The sequence below is a fragment of the Homo sapiens genome, chromosome 2 (assembly GCF_000001405.40).
Source record: "Homo sapiens chromosome 2, GRCh38.p14 Primary Assembly".
In the NCBI taxonomy this organism is placed as follows: Eukaryota; Metazoa; Chordata; class Mammalia; order Primates; family Hominidae; genus Homo; species Homo sapiens.
Window position 1 is genome coordinate 194,745,571 of NC_000002.12, and position 23,317 is coordinate 194,768,887.

The 23,317-nt window shown below is 33.5% G+C and overlaps 2 long non-coding RNA genes across 2 annotated transcripts in view, besides 1 other annotated feature; one reads left to right on the plus strand and one right to left on the minus strand.

Moving 5' to 3' along the window:
- LINC01790 (long intergenic non-protein coding RNA 1790) overlaps positions 1-15,865 on the plus strand; it is a 30,841-nt gene extending 14,976 nt beyond the window's left edge. The window contains exon 4 of the long non-coding RNA NR_110223.1: positions 13,600-15,865. This is a non-coding gene — a long non-coding RNA (long intergenic non-protein coding RNA 1790). The remainder of the gene's footprint in view (positions 1-13,599) is intronic.
- LOC105376755 (uncharacterized) overlaps positions 1-23,317 on the minus strand; it is a 673,333-nt gene that overhangs the window by 19,399 nt on the left and 630,617 nt on the right. The window lies entirely within an intron of this gene.
- Positions 17,107-17,608: an enhancer, noted in NCBI's record as "NANOG hESC enhancer chr2:195627401-195627902 (GRCh37/hg19 assembly coordinates)". NCBI's record gives its function as "activates a minimal SCP1, AML or CMV promoter by ChIP-STARR-seq in primed H9 embryonic stem cells {active_cell/tissue: H9 hESC(primed)}" and the evidence as "EXISTENCE:reporter gene assay evidence [ECO:0000049][PMID:30033119]".

Below are 23,317 nucleotides of genomic sequence, written 5' to 3' on the forward strand. Positions count from 1 at the left end.
GCCAAAATGTGTTGTAAAACAGGGACTCATTGAGAGCTACTGGCCATTATATGTTTAATAAAATCTAAGTCTCTTAACACTTTCATTTTCATTTGAGCAAGTTTGTCCTGCTAGGAACAAAGGAAGCATAGGCTTAGGCTGGTGAATGAAACACATTCAGAGACTTTGGAACGGTGGCTGGCTAATTGCAAGCAACTGAAAGATTCCTTTACACTTGGGATTTTCTTTTCATTTTAAATTATAGCTTTTCTGCTTTTGTATATTTGATCCAAAGGGAGAGCCACAGGAATCTACCCAATGGCCCTGCCTTAGGAAAGGAGTAGGGATAAAAAATGCTAACCAGTTCTGAAATTCTGATTAGTATAGAGAGGATACACAGACAATGTGATCGAGATGTAGTGCAGTGAATGTTCTAATCTGAGCATGGCAAGGATCAAACATAAGACATTTAGAGCAGAGAGAAGGAATTAAAGCCATAATTAACGTGGAGAAAATATTATGCTACATGCATTCTCAGAGTAGGAAAGAAAATGGAAATGAATAGATTTTAAAAGTATGTAAAATGTGATTTTATAAAATTTTAGAATAAGTAGATTAGCAGAAGCATACAGTATTAGCAGGCATAATGTTTCCACTTTTCTTATCATGAATGCCTTAATTATTGCCACAAAATGAAACACAATAGGACTTATTATTACCATGTCCATTTAGCAATGAATTTTATAATAGTACCTTTTTTAGTGGGAGTCTTTCTAATCATATGGATGGAATGAATAATTAGGATGTTCTGCTACGTTATAGATAGAAGGCTATGATAGGACATGTCCCACTGTTTCAAAGTTAGCTATGAGCTTGTTGTCTTTCAACCTCAAAACTATACAGAACATATTGATGTAGAAAACAAAACAATCTTCCACAATGGACACAGAGATTTCTTAGATGAAAAGAAAATTAAGATTAATGAGGCAATAATGGCTGGCTTAGTGTATAGTCAACAGTTCCCTGTGGGCATTACACACCTCGTTTTGAAGTTTATATATGGCTTTATTTTTAAAAAGAAATATTTACCATAAAATCCTTTTCCACATAACCTGTTATTGTTAGCTATAGATCACTGGTAACCTGTTATTTTTTTGTGCGTGTGTGGTCTTTTTTGTTGTTGTTTGTTTGTTTGTTTTTTACCCAAACAAATGAACCTAATATGTATATGATTTTGTTTTCCTTTTCTGGTTTAGCCTTATGCCAAGAAAAATAAATACATGTATAGTAAAAGAAAAAAGCTTACTAGATATATGGACTTTTAAAATTCTACCCCATCTGAGGCTTAAAATGTTATTTAAACATTTTAAATAATATGAACAAACATTTAGAATATTAGATATCATTACAGAAAAATTATTACATTAAAAACTTGTTTTCCTAAAACATTCCCTAAAAATAGCAAATCATGGCTTTGCTATTCTTAAATGTTTCTGTTGAAATTATTTTCTCTATAACAAACTTAAATAAGTCAGATAAGAAAATTATTAAATGTTTGTGAGGAGAGGGTAGGAAAGTGAGTGGAGAAGATACCGTAATCAACAAAACACCAAAACTAAGAATTTGTGGAAATTGAAGATTTTGTTAAAAAATGAATCTGCTTTTACTTTTATGGTCTGTTTATGCCTACTAGTAGAATTTTCAAAATTTCAGAGCAATGATATCATTATATTGTTTTAAATTGGCTAAAATTATAAATGTGTATATAAATCACATACTAGTTTCAGACAATTTTCTTCCTAAAACCTTAGATGTCTGCTACAGATTTAGATGAATCATTTTAAAACTTATTAGCTATATAAATATATATTATATATATTATATATATAGCTTATTAGTTATATAATAAGCTTATAGTTTATAATATAAGCTTATATAGCTATAAGCTTATAGCTTATTAGCTATATATGTAGCATATATATATAAATATATATAAAATGAGTACAGGATTCAAAGTGTTCAATCTTCTTACCCTAAGAAACTGACAAAAAAGGTTCCTTGAGTTAGAGAGCAGCAGGATGAAATTACTTCATCGGGATAGGGCACTAAAAAGCTGAAAATATATTATCATTTCTTCTTTCTAAATCTGTGTAGTGGTAATTGTATGTATGGGAAGTAGGAAGAGATCACAAAGACTTCCATTTCTATTCGTAGCCTCTCAGACTTTTTTTTTTTTCATAGCCGTCTGGCTCATTTATGCTGTATCATTCCTTCTAATCTCCTTTATAAGAATAAAGGATAATGAATAATGCACATATGTAACTATAATAGCTGTCTTTTCATTTTAGGAAAATCATACTGTGTGTGTGTGTGCATGTGTTTGTATTTTGTTAGATTATCTTTCAAATTCAGAGAAATTATCAAGCACTTGCCTTCCATATAAATATTATGATGCCATTCATGTTATTTTCTCAGTTGTCTTAAAAATTCAAATGAATTACTAGAGTTCCATAACAATCTAATTACTATCCTATGTCTAAACCATGCCTGTGTTATTCCGCCATTTCTTTCCTCATTCCCCAAAGTAATCCCCCTGCTTTTTCTAAGCAAGTTCTCTTCTCGAAGTTTCATGAAAACCCATGCTCACCTCTTCTTTGGCACCTTTTTATATTCTGTTGGCTTATGCCTCCATTGTTCTCATCCTCCTTTAATCACTACTAATCTCAACTTTTATTTCCTTTAAGATCTCAAAGAAGTCTGACTTTCTCAACCATTCTATTGACGAGTTCAGAGTTAATCACTAAATTCTTATAGGTCACTTTTTTGACATGTCATTCATAGTATTTTGCATTTTTTTCTTCCTTTTTGTCTTATGTCTATCAAATGCATTTCAATGTCCCTTTGCATGGAAGACATGTCTTCAACAAATGAATTACAAAGTCAAAATTCCTGGCTCTGCTGCTTATTAGTTGAGATACAAGTTAATTAAATCATTCTTAGCTTTGATTTTTCCACTGAGAAAATGAAAAATATAAAATAAAACTCACTTCAGAGCATTATGGTGAGAATAAAATGACTTATGTAAATAGCTTAGCCAGTTGTTGCTTGTAGAAAGTTACCAAAATATGATATATAGGTTCCCTTCTCTATAATTTTATATGCCCAAAGAGTAGCTAGCAAAATGTCTTCCTTGTAACCATGCTTGGAAATTCTTGGTAATAATGAAAAACTACTGTTCTCATGCCAGACTGATATTTTACATTCATTATTTTTCTCACCCACCATAAGAAGTACAATATCATTAATTTTAGATTTTTAAGTTAATGGCAAGTAAGATTATTAATACCACCGCTCAAAATCAAACCATGTTTTTGTTTGTTAGTTTTGGGTTAATGAAAATTAGAACTGTGTTTTTGTATATGAATAACAGCAAACTAAAATTTTTCTTCTTAATTTACTATTCTTCAAGCAAAATACCAAAACCATACTGAAGACACAGTAGGGAGTATTTGAAAGGTAGCAATCTTATAAACCTCAATCTGTTTCTTAAATCCTTCCAACTCAATTTTCACATTAGAAGTAAATAATATTGCCTCTCATTCTGACATAGGCTACCAGTTAAACAAAGCCATCCTTTTTTACCTTTCAATGTTTGTTGTAGAGCTGGTATAAAACCTTGGAAAATAAAGAAATAATTCTGTTTAAATAAAATGAAACTTTTGACCTTTTTTCCTCCTAGACTATAATTATATTAATAGACTAACAAAAATTTAAGCAGAGAAAGGTGAAGATATAAGGGATAGAAATAAATCTTTACTCTTGAAATTCATATAAACTTATTAAGAGGTATAATCTTAAGCAATACCATAATATCATGATTTAACTTGTGATGATTTCCACACACGACTTAATGAGTTCAACACAAGTATATTCATGATATCAACTTGTAGCTCTTTCTGTGAACCAGTCTTGTTTGAATCCCTTCCCAATATCTAACTCATGAGACATAGACTCTACTATCTAAGCAGTGAGTCTTCAGGACTAGTTTACCTAGGGAGAGGATTTCTCCATCAAAATAAGTGAGGACATCAAGAAGCAGGATGTGCCATAGGACTCAGTGCAGATCATGTAGGACTGCTCAAGTCCATAATGCTCAGAGAAAACAGCAGTGTTGCAGGAGTCATAGACACGATGGAAAGAAGGATATTGGGCTAATAGACTTGGATTATATTATAAATAGTGAGGACAAGCAGGTCAAGAGTAATACCTTAGAACAACTCTTTCTGAAAAACAATTAGTTGGTTGAGGCTGTGCACTACATTATGGTTTGAAGAAAGCTAGTTCTAAAAACATATTTTACTTTTTTGAACAAGATTTTGTAAGTTTTCCTTCTCTCAACAATAATCAGATATTATGTTTTAGGAACAGATTTAAAAGTGTATTCTACCTGAAGGAATTCTCTATTTTACTTAATTGGGATAAGAAGCAACTAACAGAATTACTGAACTCATATTAGGTAATGGGAAGTATGATTACATAGCACTATTCTGAATTCATGAAAAGTTCTTCTTTCCTTGTCTGCTTGAGAAACTTCTAGTCATCCTATAAAATGTCATTCAAACAAAGTTACTGCTTATGGCTTCCAAGAGACCTAGTCACCCTTTCAGAAGAATGATCACTCTCTCCTATGAATGATGGCTATATCTTACACACCACTTTATTACCACATTTACTGTGGGATACACATTTTTAAAATTATTATTTGTCAGTTTCCTACTCTATAGTTAGAGTCAACAGATAAGTGTATTTTTCAACTTTATTATCTCAGTACCAAATACAGAGTTTACTAAATAGTATGCACCCAATAACTGTTATTTTCACTATGTTGAAAATGATAAATCAGGTTGTTGATTAAAAAATAATAAGACTCATTGTAGCATATAATTAATACAATTTTCCTAAAGTGTTTGAAAAGTATACACCAAAATATTTTAAGAAATAAATATCAGTATTATTAAAAACAAGCAGTCAAAATATCTACTTTAATATAGAATGTTCATTTGGAGGTGTAAGCTCTCATTTCCTTTAAGCTTTAAATATGTATCCCTCGGCCGGGCGCGGTGGCTCACGCCTGTAATCCCAGCACTTTGGGAGGCCGAGGCGGGCGGATCACGAGGTCAGGAGATCGAGACCATCCCGGCTAAAACGGTGAAACCCCGTCTCTACTAAAAATACAAAAAATTAGCCGGGCGTAGTGGCGGGCGCCTGTAGTCCCAGCTACTTGGGAGGCTGAGGCAGGAGAATGGCGTGAACCCGGGAGGCGGAGATTGCAGTGAGCCGAGATCCCGCCACTGCACTCCAGCCTGGGCGACAGAGCGAGACTCCGTCCCAAAAAAAAAAAAAAAAAAATATGTATCCCTCTTCTTGCTCAAACATACTGGTTATTCCTTTAGAATTCATACCTACTGGTGGCTCCTTTTTCTTAGCCCTCAGCTGCCTCCTTCAATCTGTCATCTTGAATTGCTAAATAAAGCACTGGCCACATTCTTGGGGGTAGGTTTGGTCAGCAGATACATTTTGATTGGTCCACTGAGAGTTGAAAAATGCTTGGATTAGTTACAAGAATTTGAACATAAAGATTTGTTTCACACAACACTGGATATCATGCGACTCTTCGACTGTGAGAAGATCAAGCTACAATGAATCTACTTTCCTACAGGTCCACAATTAGATGGAGCTACCACACTTAAGTGAGGTAACTCTTTGGTTTGTCACAACCTTTACCAATTCCTTTTGCTTTATGTATGCTCCTGCCTGGCCCTTGTAGATATTTTATTTATAATCCTTGGACCAGACCTTTTAATTTTTTAACTTTTTCTCCCCAAGCATTGCCTTCTGCCAAACACAAAAATGGTACTCACACTCCACTATATTTCTACTCCTTGTTTCCTCACTCATCTAGAAAACATTTTGAGTAAAATTAAGACTTTTATATTGTTTTGTTAATTTTATTAAAGGAAGTTTTAAGATGAGTATTTTGTGTTTTGAATTGCAAACACTTAAATGTTTCCAGGTTTCATGAGACACAAATGCATACACAAAGAACAATACAGTACATAGAAGGGTTAAATTTTATAATTCAAGGTCAATGTACTTTATAAAACTTCAAATGTTAAATTGAAACTGGTAGCTCTAAATGATGAGAAAACATGGACACATGAGGGGGAACAACACACACTGGGGCCTGTCGGAGGGCAGGAGGTGAGAAGAGGGAGAGGATCAGGAGAATAGCTAATGGATGCTGGGCTTAATACCTGGGTGATGGGATGATCTGTGCAGCAAACCACCATGGCACACGTTTACTTATGCAACAAACCTCCACATCCTGTACACATAACCCTGAACTTAGAATAAAAGTTGGTAAAAGACCCACAAAACCTGTTAGCTCTGAGAAAGTTACAGTTGACAAAAGCAGAAAGGTTATCTTTTTCATAGATGGTAGAGAACCATCATCTTCAACCTTGAAATATATAAATGACTTCAGAGAAAATTTTAAAGAAGTAAAACAAAAGGTAGTAGAAGAGATTTGGGAGATAAATTTCTCAAAGTATTTTTTTAAAAAAGTAAGAAAAGAAAACTGGGTGATGGCCTTACATCTTCAAAAATGACTGATTGAAGATGTCAGCAACAATTGTCCCTGAAAAATTATTTTGGTGTCATGCTTCTGAAGGGGTTTCCTTACCGTCTGACTTGTTATAATAAAAATAGGTGAACTTGTAGTTTGGAACTTTGTAGTGAAAGCTATGATGCTTTAACATATTAAAGATGATTGCAAGCAAGATTGTCCAGTTGGGCTATTAAAATGAGTCACTTTAGAAAACTGACATTTTCAAAATTTCCTCCCACAGTTAAATTGTTCCAGAAGAAATTTAGAAATAGCACTGCTTATGGATTGAACTTTTAGATGGGTAATTTGCCTACATAGATTCAAAAGTCTAAATTTTTTTTCTGGAAATAGTAAGATTAACTTAGTAAATATGGTGTTCTTATACTAAAGAGCTGAGCATTACAAGTATAACTATGATTCTATTATTGTTATATGAAATAAAAGATTTTATTTGATTTTTATTTCTAACACATTTAAAAAGGCCGAATCCTATTTAAAAAATAACCATGAAATTATTTCAGGGCATCTAGAATTCTGCCTGCCTGAGAGGAGGTGATACCAGCCAGTTATATGAGGAGACGGGAGGAGGCGGTGTTTGATGGGTTGGTTTTTTACCAATGGGTTTGTAAAAAAAACCAAAATGAAGCTTTTTATTGCTTCAGTTTCTTCATCTGTAAACTAAGAATAATAATAGTGCCAAGGACCTTGGACATAAAAATTACATAAGCTAATGCACGCAAAACACTGAGATTAGTGTAGGCTCATATAAATATTAAATAATTGTTAGCTGGCATTATTATTTCAAAAGACCTTAGTAAGTTTAGACTGAGTCCAAATAGTACAGCAGTCATAAATGATGTCCATAAAATCTGTGTACAGTTTGAATATTTCATGAGTTCACTTCTGTGTAATATGTGACAATCTGCAAAATACAACAGAGAAAAAATCTACTCAAAAAATAAATTGTTAATGATTTCTTTGTTCTAATTATGTTTATTTTTCCAAATAATATATTGACTATAATAAATAGCTGAATTCAAATGTATCCAAAATTATAGTGAATATTTTAAAATATAAATGTCTACAATTAAATGTTGAAAAACATCCTGCTCATCTCAACATGGAAAGGTAGGACTTTGGCTGGAACTCAGGTACTATGGTTGAGTTGAAGAAGAGGAAAGCACATAAAATAGCATTTGGCCGATTATTTTTTCCTAATACAGAAATAAATTGAGGAGGCTGTGAATACACTGTATAACAAAGACACTATATAAGAAATATCAGTGTGTTAGCACTAAAATAGTTCATTATTTATGTGATTAGAATAAGGACATTTGATAAACTTTTTTGATTTACTGTTTCTTGTAAAGATACATTACAGTTTATGTGCATTAGCATAATTTCAAGGCCCCAAAGGTAAATGTTATGGGAAGATAATTTATTTTGTTCATATTGTTTCTCCTTGTATTTTTTTGTTTATATCTCAGTAATATATGAATATTTAAATTTCATGATGGCAACTATATTTACAGATAATTGAAGCCTGGATATTTTTAATTTAAAAAAAGATATTTGCATGGTCACTCTTCTAGCAAGTAAAATGATTTTGCATTGGTTATTTATTCACTAAAATTTCCACAAATATATTCTAAATAACAATTACTGCTCTAGCAGAATATAGTGGACTAAAAAAAACTACATTATAGTTTGCAGGAAAAGATGAGACAATTATTCATGATCAAGTAGAGTTTTCTAGACAATGAGCTCATCTCAGTAGTACATAAAAACAATACGTTCAAATATAATTCAATAAATGGGCTAAAACCTATTTAAACCTTGAAACCTGTTATTTTTTCTCCAGAAAATGACAAACTTTAGAGAGAATTGGAAACTTAAGTAATCAGAGATTTCTTCCTAAAATATGGCTTAATTATTGACTTTGTTAGAGAAGTGTGTGTGTGTGTGTGTGTGTGTGTGTGTGTGTGTGTGTGTCTACAGTAAGCAAAGCAGAATTCTAGATATTGGAGATCCAAGTGGATTGAATATACCTGATCTCCAGGAGCATATGCTGGATGAGGTAGGTAAGTACACTGTCGAGCTCAAGCCCATGTGGTAAACACTAATCAAATGATTTGGGAGTGCCATCGAAGGGAAACAATCTGCTTTCAGGATGTCGGGAAAAGGGACCTAGAGTTAGGCAGACGATGGAGAAAGGCAAAAGAGTTCAGCAAATAAGGAACAATATATATATATATAGTGGTCCCTAGATCAGTACAAGGATAGTGGTGGCAACAGCAAAAGTAATAGAGTTAGGGAGGAGACAGGTAGACAGATAGGAGAGATATGTGTTCTTAAATAATGACTTAAGAAAAATAGCATAGATTGAAGGAAAATACTCAGGCTTCCAGGAAAGATGAAGTTTACAATCACATAGATAAAAAATACTGTTGTTAGAACAGGTTTGTGAAGGTTATGCCTGACATAACTGAGGAGTAATAAAGGTCAGTAGGTATTAAGTAAATAAAGAGGGTGTCTATCATATTGATACTTTTTCTGTACTTTAGATATATATATATATAGTACCTGCCACTTTATAGAATACACATACCTATTTGGGAGACCATCTTTTAGCCATACAGTGATGCTATTTCATACATGACTAAATGACCCATTTTAATTATGTCTTCATTCATAAAAAGAAAAAAAAGTGTTAAAAATTTGTACTCTGTAGTTTTTCTACATCCTGTTTTAACAAAAGCATCTTCAATGTAGGACATTCTCAAGTTTATTCCTTACATTTTTGAGAATCTTTACTCTTTGCTTAAAAGGAGATTTTTGCCCCAGCTTTCTCTTCTTCTCAAGTCATTTTTCAGACATATAAGTATAAAAACCAATTTATTATATAAGAAATGAGATAAAGGGCATAGAATTTAGGAATTGAGATTGATGACACGCTGTATATTCTTCTGAGCTGAAGTAACCAAGGTCAAGCAGAAGTAAGATTAAACTGTTATCCTTTGGATTCTCAAAGTCTTTCCCCAAAATATGTAGGAATGAGACATGGAGAAATTGTAATTCAAATGTCAACATTTGACTTAGTAATTTATCTGAAATGCCCAGACACAGAAAAAGATCAACAATTAAATGCAACATGCTACAGGCAATTGAAATAATATTCCCATAACTAAAGGTCATATTTGTATTAATGGTAAAGAATATATTTGTTTAGTTGGAATTAAAAACAATACATTATCTAAAGCAAGAAGTTTTATTTAGAAGTATGACTGGTACACAGCAGGCTTAGTAAAATTTTAAAACAGAAAAATAGGAGATACAGTACATTATTGTAATGGTTTTGAAGGTATATCTTGAAAATGATTTGTGAATTAACGGTAAAATATATTATTAAAAATGAAATCTTTGTTATTTTAAAGTGACTTTGGTATTCTTTTACTCAATTTCTTTCATTTTGAAGATAAGGGAAATAAAGATCAAAAAGGCTATGATTTGATAGAGTTCAGAAGGCAAGTAAAAGTCAGGACTGAAACTGGAACCTAGGCCTCATGAGCCTTTGTGTGCATGTGTGTTTTGTTAAACCATATCAGTTATGGATTTGATTTTTATTTTCTGGATAACCTATTTAATCTAAATTTCTATTAATTTAGTAGATAGTCTAGTTTTAAAAATACCAATTAACATAAGAAGTTACTAAAAGATATGAAAGAAAACTATTTTAAACAGCATTTTTTTTGTATTTTTTATGCTTAAAACAGCCATTAATTTCACATACTAAACCCTAGTGATGTTTTATTGTCATTTTTAAGTGAAAAGCTCAGTTAATTCTTTTACTTGGATTTTTTACACTCAGTAATGGCAGAAATAATGCAATAATTGCCATGCTAGTGAACAGTTCGCTCATTTGCCTGGATAAATTATTTAATATTTGCTGTTTCAATCTTAATATTTTCCAATAAGTTTGTTAATTATGACACTTCACTATGCTTACTAAGGGAAATTATGAATTTGGGCACTGTGGTTCTGGTCTATTTCTGAATAGTTTGTATAAAACACTCATGTATACATACAAAAAAATAGAATGCTAAATTGCAAAACGTTGGCCCTATTTCTTCTATTTTAGTTCATTCTGTGATTTGACATCTATAAATACCTATCTTCTCTATTTTTTATTCATAGTGCCCAAAATGCAGTGTTAAATAGTTTGTCTATGACTCATTGACTTACTTTACAGATGCAGAAAATGCTCACAAATTTCATAGTGATTTACTGAACGGAAAATTTGATTTTAAACCATGCTTGCATAGGTTGAGGAATGCTGTAGTGTTGACAGAGGAGGTGAAAGTCAGGAAATCTGGTAATCTATATGGTGGCTGTGGTTAGGCTATTATTTAACTCATATTGATACCTCATTTTAAGTTTAGAATACTTTGTCTATTTCATCAAATTAATGATTTTCAGTGACTGCAAATACACACACTAAATCCAAAGTGATCAATAGCTCCTAGAGAAACTATATTAATGATGGAGGTGATACTATTATGGCAATTTCATGAACTATATTCTATGACCTATAAAGGTGTTAGACGTTTGTATCTTCTGATTGTTTCTCTAATCTTATATACCATTTAAGTTTACTTCAGGAAAGGCATGTCTAATAAAGTAATTTAAAGTGCAAAATTAAAAACTATGTTTCAAAATGGGAACCAAATTTATAAGATAAGTTCATTGGCATGAAAAAGAGATACCATATTCCATTTTTCAGTTGATTATGCTTATTAGAGCAAAAATCACTTGATATGTATGATAAGAAGGTTTCTAGCAGATGTCTCTTTGATGTAAGATATAAAACAGCACATACCTCATTAAAGAACACATCAAAAGCATAAAAATGCAACCATTAATCTATATTTCATAATTTCCCTATAATAACTCTAAGTGAAACTCATAGAACACAAATGAAAGAGCTATAGAAGAAGGTAATATTAACATTTATATATGATTTAGTCCTTGTTCCTTTGAATTATATTAAATAGCTGTTGGTCCAAATTGACTATAAAGAATTTTTAAAAGTTTAATATATAAATGATAACTTAGGAATTTTGTTCCAATAGGAAAGATGGCCCTTTTCATTCATTTGTCAAAAAATGTATGCTATCAAGAAATGTTAGACTTGAATGGGATACTGAGTACCATCAAGCCTAATTCCTACATTTTACAGATGAGTATATTGAGGCACACAGTAGTTAACTAACTCTATCACCCCCATAATTAACAGAATTAGAATATTGATGAAAATCAAAATTTTTAGACTAATATTTCAATGCTCTTTCTATACTCTGCTGTGCTATCTTAGAAGCATACTTTCTATCTCAGAGAATCTGAAATCCTTAGAGTTGGAAAATGCCTTACATTACAGATGTTTTTTATTCAACAGCACAAACACAAACATATAAAAATACCTATAAAATATTAATGTTATAGGTATGCAATAAAAACAATTGATAATGTGGGAAGTTCCATAAGAAAAAGAACCCACTTTATGAAGAAGAACATTGCAATGAGGGAAAGCTACCCAATAAATTAAGATATAATGAATGGAGAGGTCAACCAAATGCAATGTGTGAATCTTATTTGGATTCTGACTCAAATAAACCAACTTCAATTTTTAAAAAATTTATATATCAATCAAGGGAAAGTGACCATTCACTGGACACTTAATGATACTAAGTATTCTTGAAAAATGACAATAATTTTAAAAACTGTAGGCCTGATCTGTTTCATCAGACACTTTCAGGACCAGTAATTTATCTATTGGTGCATTGCCTAACAGTAGACACACAATAAGCTTGTGTTGAATTTGTTGTTTTTTCATTTATTAATATTATAATATATGGAATAAAAGTAAACATTTCAAAGTTGTAAATTGCAAGTATATAAAAATTTTTAAAATCATATCCAATTTAAGAGTCAAGAGAGTTTCGAACACATTAATTTACTCAAATTTGTATTCTACATCAAAATAATTTAATTTTCCTCTCAGACCTTGTACTTGATGCTGAAGGTCAAAGGTTTAAATTTATATGCTCATCTTTCTTTTTGGATTCCAACATAGTCCTAATTGAAATTTGACATATATGACTATTAGTTGAAATTATTCCTTTTCCATGCTTCATTAACAATACACTTTACTATACTACAACGATAATGCTCATAATAAAAGTCTCCTATGCAATGTGGATTACACTGAAACATGATTGATTATCTCAAATGTAACATAGAATTCGTATTATAAAATTTAAGATGCTGAAATTGAGTCTGTGACTGGAATTTAAATATGCACTGAAAGAAGCAAAATCAGTTTTCATTATTAAAAAAGAGTAAAATTTTGAGAAACAATTTTCTTTTACTTAGTTATGTTTTAATTAGAGATGAATATGATATTCAGGCTTTTTTGTGAAGACATTTTCTTTGAACATTAATTTATTGTTATAAATTATATATAGTTTTAGTTTGTATGTTGTTTCTAAAGTATGCATGTTCCTGTGTTATTATTACTTTGTATTTAGTTCCAAGTATAATGTTTTATAAAAGTATGGCTATTTATAAAGTCTAATTCTGCAAAGTACATTTAACAAAACAGCTATAGAATGAATACCTGCTGATTTCCTCTACAGCATCAATGTCCTTTCTCTTCTGCCAAAGGTAACCTGGCTTTCCTTTAGTAGAGTTTGCCTTTTCCCTGTATAGTAACAGTCCTGAAGTTCCCAGCCAGTTTAAGCCAATTGCAAAATGTTTGGTCACCATATCTGGTTTAAAGACAACACGAATAATATATTTGCTGAGACTTTCTGGGAAATAAATTTCCTGATTCTTCTGAAAACAAAACAAACAACCAAAAAAGCCTTCTAAATAAATGCTCTCTTTTCCTTTAATAGGTATGAGAGAGCCCTGTGAGTGCTGAAGGCATTTTTCTACCTAATGATGACTCTAGTACTGGAGGAAGCAAAATTGGAAAAATCTTAGAAAAACGGACATCTAACCTTGACCAAACATGCCTGAAGGCTTTCTTCCCTACCTGAATTATGATATATTTTTCTATACACAAAATAATGTAATTTTCAAAGTTAATCCTTTGAAAGCTCAGATTTTTTACAACAGCTTTAACAAGGCAATAGCTTTACTGTGTGCTGTGAGCTGATAGATTGGGAACTTTCAACCACTTACACTATGGCTAAGAATTCAAATCTCTGGAGAAAGATTAGGAATGTGCATTTACACAAGCGTTGTTATCTCATTCTGACGTAGATGGTCATCTACCAGACAATTTGAGTTTAAGTTTTACCTGGGAGCTTTGAAAAAATACAGATGCCTAGCCCCCACAGACCTCACATCCAAAGATTTGGTTCCACTAGAATGGGGTACAGGTAACAGTGTTTAGAGCTCCATAGCTTGTTAATGTGCAGCCATGGTGTCAAGGCAAGACTTCTCAAACTTTAACGTGCAGACAAATCATTCATCGATATAGTAAAAATGCAAGTTGTGATTTAGTAGGTCTGAGATAAGGCCTGAGATCTTGCATTTCTAATGAGTGTCCCAACTCTAAAAAACAAAAATCAGTTAATCAGGCTAGGCATTGACAGGCATGTACATTACAAGTGAAGTAGATAAGGAAAGGTTGGTACTAGAAATTATCCACTGTACTGGGGCAAGTGTAAAGAGCACAGATCCAGTTAGAAGTTAATAGCTTTTTTTGCATCACTAATTTTTTAGAGGCTAGGAAAGTCCATTTTAATATTACGCATTTAAGAGAGAAACTAGGTATTAAAGAAATTAACATTTAGCAGTTGGAAAATATTGACTTGGTAGCAGGGAGTCTGTTATCCTTGCTGTTACCCTGAACATTTCAATTTCAGAAAGTTGCATGACTTTTGAATCTCCTCCATGTAAGACATCCTGCTTGACATAAGGATTTATTTCTGACTTTCCATCAGTTTCTAATTAATAGCACCACTGTGTGCTACATGATGTGAGAATTAAAAATCTCTAAACAGTACCACAGGAGCACCACATTGCACTTCTACTTGAAAAAACACCTGATCAGTTATCCAGCTGTTTCCTCCAGATGTTTTCTGTAAACTCAAAGGTCATTGTTTCACTAAAATTGAGATTAATTTGGCTTAAACATATCTTGCTCACTATAATAAAGTAGAGCTATTAAAATCAAGTTTTTAAATAGCCACAGGTATATACAATCAAATGTTGTAGAACTTACCAAATATATGTTTCTAAAAGCACTTTCTCTCCACTTTTATAAATCTAAATGCAAAATCATATAGTTTGTATGTTTTGTAATAAAATGTGTAGTGACACATTCTTTCCTCTGAGTAAATATCTCATGACGAAAAGGAACATATCATTATTAGTACAGAGTAATAACAGAATTCACTATAAGATGAAAAGCTCAGCAAATGGTGACTGCTCTTGAAATGACAAATAACACATAATATCTTCCCCTAAGCTAATCTGGAAGCAAAATAATAAGACATGACCTAAAGGATACAGTATATGTGTCTGTATGCTTTACTTTATAGCATCTTTGTAAAATAATGTGATTTTACCAGATTGCATGAGATTGTGTTATAACCAGATACTATTAGAGTCATAGGCATTAAAAGTTGTCCTTCATAAGGGGTATTATGGCATTTAATTACAAGTATTCTTTTTCATAATGAAATCAGAATGCAAACACCAGCCCTACAATAACTCTGCACTTGAATAGCAAACCAAATATTCCTCAAAGGTCATAATTTTATAAGTTTGAGATTAAAAATAACATCTAATCTTTACTACTGCTGTCTTTCCATCCCTAGGAATATTACTTATTTTCATTAATTACTTATTTAGTCTATTTGATCACAAAGTTAAATCAAAATCTCAGAGAAGACTACAGCAATAACATTTATCAAGCTCCATTGTGTATCTGTCATTGGGTGTATACTATTCTGTGAACTATGGCCTTCCACGGACTATTAATAAAGAGACATAGTTACATATCAATATTTATTTCTATGACGTATGTCCCCTATGAAAAAAATATACCTTGGTCTATGATTAAATGTCCTTTGTTTACAAAAACCATTATTGTGTACTAAATTATTCGTCCTTTTTCCTTTCAAACAATAAAAAAGCTATTGAAATATGAAGTGAAGCTTTGAATGTCCCAATGTTCATAGCCAGATTTAAATTACCAAACTAATAGCCAAAAAACCCAAGAAGAAAACAACAGAGTGGGAGATTGAAAGACACAATTGTTTAAAAAAGAAACAAAACAGTAGAATGGAAACATCTGGTCTTAGCATGAATATAACAATAATAGCAAAAGGAGTAGAAGTGGCACAAGAACACGTGCATTGTGTGGGTTGCTGTGTGTTATGCACCAGGTTAAGTCCTATTTATTTGTTATATAGTTCTTCTAATCCTATTATATAGGTATTTCATCATTCCCGCATTATATCTGGGGAAATTGAGGCTTGAAAATCTCTAATTAATCTGTCAAATCTCAGATCATTATTAAGAGGTAAAACCAGGGACTCAAACCTAAATCTGACTTCAAAGCCTATTGTCTTAACCAAGCTACACTTGGCAGCCAGAAAGCAGTACACAGAAAGTATGTACTTTTAACTAAATAAAATTACTCTGAAATAATTTTCTACTCAAAAGAAATTATCTTAAGATAAAAAGTATTGCTAAAATCATGCTGACTGGCATCCAGGAAAAAATAGGACTGACAAAGAACCGTTTATTAATATGGCAGGCAGGTTGTGACCACTTATTTATTTATTTATTTATTTATTTATTTATTTATTTATTTGAGACAGAGTCTTGCACTGTTGCCCAGGCTGGAGTGCAATGGTGTGATCTCTGGTCACTGCAATCTCCGCCTCCTGAGTTCATGCCATTCTCCTGACTCAGCCTACCAAGTAGCTAGAACTACAGGCACTCAACACCACGCCCAGCTAATTTTTTGTATTTTTAGTAGAGACGGGGTTTCACTGTGTTAGCCAGGATGGTCTCGATCTCCTGACCTTGTGCTTTGCCCGCCTCAGCCTCCCAAAGTGCTGGGATTACAGGCGTGAGCCACCGCGCCCAGCAGTGACCACTTTTATCTATACCAAACAAAAATATTATAAATAAAATATATTAAAAATAAAAACACATTCTAACACAAAGAAAAAACTCTCTAGATGAGAAATAGAATAGGAAACTAAGAGGTGACTAGTGACTTATGTGGTAAGGCTGTAACAGAAGAATCTAAGCATCAAAATTAGTAGTGAAGTCCAGCATTTGCTCCTGTATGAAAATGAAACTGATTACAGTCCACATAAGATGAGGGACTAGAACCAAGTCCCCTATATAAAGCTAGGAATTAGCACCCTTCTCACCCTCATACTGGGGCTCAGGACACTTTGAAGTAGGGCACTTTTACAGGCTGAGTACTTTGAACTAAAGAAGTAGCTTCAGAACCAAGGTCTCTCTGACCTTGCCCCACTCCCCTTTCTGTCAATCCTATTTCTCTCCCAGACAGGGGAGGAGCTTTCTCTGAAGTTTCCCTTATCTGATTAAGGGAAGTTCCTACAAAAGGAATGCAATTGTTGTCAAGTCCTTTCTAGAATCTACATTAAGTGAAGAAGATTAACTCAGCAAGATAAGACACCAAGATCTCCATCCATCCATGCCCAGGACACCATGCCCATGCAGACTTTTTTTTTTTTTTTGAGGAACAGAGCCTCACTCTCTCCCCCAGGCTGGATTGCAATGGCATGATCTCGGCTCGCTGTAACCTCCGCCTCCCAGGTTCAGTGATTCTCCTGTCTCAGCCTCCCAAGTAGCTGGGATTACAGGTGCATGCCACCACACCCAGCTAATTTTTATATTTGTTAGTAGAGACAGAGTTTCACTACATGTTGGACAGGCTGGTCTCAAACTCTTGACCTCAGGTGATCCACCCACTTTGGCCTCCCAAAGTGCTGCAATTACAGGTGTGAGCCACCATGCCCAGCTAGACTTTTTTTTACCTAATTCTTCTGAGGGTTGCTATTCAGAAAAGACTTTATCTGCGTAACAAGGTAACTTTTGTTCCCACTATAGTTCTTCCCCTCATCCTCCCAGAACTTTTGTCACCTCCCCCTGCTGAGAAGACCGTATTTCTTTCTGCAGCTCAAAATGCTATTCAAGCTTTTAACCATTTGGTCTTTCTTTGAGTCTCATATTTTGTAGGACTACTATGCATGTAATACGTTTGTAATCCTTTTCTCTTGTTAATCTGTCTTCTGTCATAGTTATTCCAGAGACTCAAATTATCAAACCTTCAGACAATAGAGGGAAAGCGTAAAGTCCCCTACACTCTCATCAATGAATATAGGAAAACTACTAACTACTTACTCAGTGTACTCTTGGCAGAAACAGTAACTGGGAACTGAGAAATGGATTGTTGTGTATGTGAAGTTGATGGTATTGTAGCGGAATATTATGATGGAGTGAAGGTCTGAGCTACTAATATAAGACATATCTTTGAAATCTGGATGTATCTGAATGAGATAATCATGGACCCACGGAACAAGAGGGAGAAAAGATATGAAAATAAAAGTTATCTCAAGAGATGTTCTCTCAAATCCCATTCCCACAATGAATAAAGAAACCTGATACTAATACACTCATTCAGTAAACCTGAAAGATGGAAGAATGTATGCCCAAAGAACTAGAAATAATACACCAATCTGAAACTGCATTAAAATACAATTTGAAGTCCTCAAAGATGTAGAGTAGATATGAGCATCAACAAAATGAAATCCATACAACAGACAAGGAATATCAGCAGGTGAGAATCAAGTATAGGTATGACAAGAAACCAACTGGAATTCAAGAAAAAGGAAACCATAGTGCTTAAAATGAAAATTTAAAAACACTAAATAAATGGAGGTAAACAGATTGAACAAAGGCAGAATGAATTAAAGATTTGAGTATCAGAGCATACATACAGCTTTGATATGAAATGAAAGGTTAACAAATGGGGCTTTACAAGAATAGAATGCATGTTACTTTGTGTTGAATTGAAGGGTAAGTCTGTCCAATTGAGAAAGAAGCAGAGAGAGAATGCAAATCTGTGTCACTGCCTTGAAGAGATTTTTATGTTCATTTTGTTAAACTGCTTCCCATAAAGTGGTCCCACGATATTCCAGTGTGGAAGTAAATGAAGACCAACCAAATGAGAACAAGCAAAGGATATTTATTAGAGCTTACTGCAGCAAGGGAATCAGCCACCACCACTTGTGTTTTGGCAGAGACTCAAAGGTTGGCAGAGAGAATATGAAAGCTTTATATTGGGGGGGGAAAAAAAAACAAGAGGGCTTCAGGTGTACTCTCATTGGAGGCTGTTGGCATGGAGAAACTGTAAGTACATTAACTACAAGTGGGACACCTTGTGATTGACTAGGAGTGCATCCTTGCTTTCTCCAGTTGGTCCTAAGTTAGAAGCAGAGACAAAAATTAGGGAAGCTGTCAGTTTTTAATCAAGTCCTGGCCACTTTAGGGCAATTATTACAGGAGTTATTGTTTGGCTACCTGGAAAGTTGGTAGAGATACCAGTCTGACTTCCTACAGGTCTTAGTTGGAGCAGGCTGGCCTCCTGGGCTGGTTGCTATAGATAAGGGATTGGTTTCCTGGTCAGGTTGCTGCAGGTTGCGAGTTCTGTTCTTATATATGGTCTGGCCATTGTCCATTTGCACAGTGTCTCTCACTAGAAAAGTTTTGCAGCAGAAACTGAAGAATTACTTTCTTTTTTATTTTGATACGATATTAATGCTAAGCTATCAGTACAATGGTGTAGGTAGGCTGCCAATTATGGATGCTCACTGTATCTCACAATCTAGGAAAAATTATACAGTTCAAAATTTGTTCAAAATGTTTTACGATTTTTTGTAAAACATCTCTGATTATAGCACTTGTTTCTTCATTCGTACTTTCTCCTAAGAAGAATCAACTGCAGGCCATCAGTTTATGCTGAGGTATCAGTTAAGTGATGGAATAATTAGTGAGAACCATCCCATCTTTATAACAAAAAGTATTTGTAAGTTAGCATTTTATAAAATAGTTACTTAAGAGAGTAATGTATGTCACTCATATACAGCTGAGTCCGAAAGAATCCTAATTGCTCTCTGGCAATTATGATAATTTTCCTGGCAGGAAAATCCAAGAGGAGTATCTGCGAACATAAATCTCCAATGAGAGAATACACCCTCATGTTCAACACCTTTTAACAATATAGCATATGAAGGTGAGTTGCCCCATGAACTTTCTGTCTCAGTCAAAATGAGAGGGCATCTCCCCATTTCTTTCACAGTGAGTGGAGTGGGTGATATTACCAGGATCAGAAGTCTCTAATTGCACGCCCTATTTTCTACAACCTTTATTTTAGGATTCTGATTTCTAGCCTCTTGACAAAATAGAGCTTCCAGCTCCCCTCGTAAGTGCCTTTATGAACACATTTGGCTGCTTGTCTTTAGAATATCCTTAATCCCAGCAGGAATGCTTTTAAATGTATTCCCAGAGCAGGTGCCCTCTATTTCTCTCCTCTCGACTGCCATCATCCCCATCCTCCATCCCTTCTGCCTCTTCAGTTCATAGCAGAAGCTGCAGGCACAAGCAGCATGCCCTGGCTCCAGTCCTAGCTGGAGCTGCCTTGGCAGTAAGCACACCAATATCCACCAAATAGCATGTCTTACATTCAAACTGTGGAGGAGGAGATTGTAATGAATTAAATCAAAATTTAAAGTTAACATAGGCGATTATATGTAAAGGTAACTCAAAATACAAGGACCTAGGTAAAGGAACTATTGAGTCACCTAAATATTTATTGACTGAAAGTCCCACTCTGTGCCTCATAGTCATGCAGATGCTTAAATTATTGTCTGCTATTTCTTACATCTTGTGTCTTCTTAAATTTGCAGTTTTGGAGGAAAACTGTCCAACTTTTGAAATATTTTGGGTTACTTTTTGCAGACTTCAATGAGATAGGATTCTATCATTAGTCTCTTAGAAAGGAAATATAAGATGAATAATCTGCCTATGGCAAATAACCCAGGACCATACAGAATCAAACAGGCACCCTGCCAAATTGCAAATGGCCCAAATTTCAAAATCACATTAAATAACACTTTATAATGAGAATGGGCAATGAATCACAAAATCACATTATATAATGGGAATGGGCAATGAATGAGGAGCTAAGAGTAAGAAAAGTAGATTCTGAATTCCCTGATCCCTCCCAGGCATTTTTTCAAGGATAGATTTTCCTTAGAATTGTGAGGAATGAAGTCTGGGTGCTTGTGGACAGATCATCTGTGTTTACCAGAACAGCCTATTATTTCCTTTTGTTTCAATACAAAGTCTAGAGAAATGCCATTAGTAAGTGATTTAAGGAGGGAGGAAGAGACAAAATCTTCAATATTCAAGTCTAACTTGAATATTGCTACAATTTGACTTAATTTCAAACTTTTTTCTTTTTACTTCCTCACTGTCACTTAGGAAGAGTTAAACAGCAACTAACAAGCATTACTTTAAAAGGTTTGGTTTGCTTTCCAGATAAATCCAAAGCTTATAAATAGGAACCTATCTACTGCTCAATTTCGAAGTCGATACCAAGATCCCCGTAATTACAACAGAAAACGGATGGCTAAACTGGTCCAGCTCCCCATAAGGGATCCCTCCCTTCTCTCAGCACCAGGGATGGAGGCAAATAGGCAGGCAATGTACCCAGTGCTTAAAGTATGAAAATATGGTTTAGTCACATCAGCAGAAAAGAAACTTACTCAAGCTCTGAAGAAATGTATTCTTAATATCCAGGAAATATAGTATGTAGATAAGAGATCACAGTGTGTTCTGTTTCCTTTTCTTATTTTCAAAGTGGGAATTTTTATAATGGCTATCTTGTTTGCCTTTCACCATTATAAACAGGGTCATAACTAGAGAATGACTATTTAGATCCTATGTTGGGACATTAAGAAGAGTCACACCCCAAAACAATTAAGTTTGAAATCCATGAGAAAACCTGGACTTGGAAATGAATGCAGTAGATGAATTTAACACTGGTTTTGGTTTTGGTTTCTTTTTGTTGTTGCTGTTGTTGTTCTATGAGTAAACTGGTTTGTTCACTCATAGAACAAGAGATATAATTGCATTAGGTTTATTTAGAGCATTTTTGCCACTGCAAGACTGGCAGAAAAATAGGTAAATGTGCTACAACTAATAAAAGAACAGAATTTTGTAGGAACAAAGAGCTGTAGTATTTTTCTTTTTGGCTTGCATAAACTACCAAATCCATGTTTTGCTTTAAGTTAATCTGTGTTTTATATTTGCAATTGAAACAGTCATGGTTAATAAGGGAAAAGGTATAAGAAATGGGATTGTTGGTGGTAAAATTTCATGCATAACTCCTAGTAGCTTTTTTCTCCTCTTTCCTACATCTGATTAATGTCTGGTCTTTCTTGCAACTTTTCTTCTCTTTCTCTGAATTTTTTCAGATTCCTTTCCCAGATTTCTCCCACAGGGTCAATCTCCCAAGGCAGTTATGTGAAGGAAAGTTTATTGGAAGTTTTGTGATAAAGTGATAAGCATTTAAAGCTTATAATTTTCCTCTAAGCACTGCTTAGGTGCAATGCACAAATTTTGATATGTTGTGTTTTTATTTTTATTTACTTTAAAATATTTTCTAATTTCCTTGCTTGTATTAATGGGTTAATTAGAAGATGGTTGTCTAATTTTCAAATATCTGAACACTTTTCATGAACTTTCAGTTATTGTTTTCTGTATTTCTTCTGTTTTGGTAAGAGAAGGTACTCTGTATGATTTCCATTTAATTTATTAAAAGGAACTGCTTTAAGACCCAGAATATGGTCAGTATTTGTGAATACTTCATGTGAACTTTCTGTGTGAACTGTCTTACAGTTGTTGGTTAAAAGAATTTTTAGTTGTTTGTTTAGCCAAAATAATTTTGGACAAGTAGAAGAAAATTGAAGTACTTAATACTACCAGCTTTCAAGGTTTTTATAAAGCTACAATAACTAGAACACCTTCCTTTCGATTTGTGACAATCAAATATATCTCCAGACATTGCCAAAACTTACAGGATACAAAATTAAAACTGGTTTAAAACCACTGATTTACCTACACCTTTCCTTTTTCTTATTTAGAACTTATATACTGTATCTTTTACCAAAAATTTATTTTACTTGTTTTTAATTTTGTTTGTATCTGTTCATGTAACATAATGATAATTTTGTTCTTTTAATTTGTATTACTGATATTTTTGAATGTATCATTTTTATATTATTTTCTATGATATTCTTGACTCTTTTTTTGTTATTTCTTTCCTCTTTTACCTGATTAATCAATTTTTAAAAATCTCTTTATTCAAGTCACTGATTTTCATGACATACATTGCATTTTTACCATGCCTAGATACTTGATTTACCAATGCTTAAAGCTAATTATTATCTCTAATCTCTCCTCCAAGAATACAAGCAAGCATTTCAAGATATTTGAGATCAGATCCACCCACGCATTTTACTTGTGTAATTTGGATTTTAATGCTTCTTG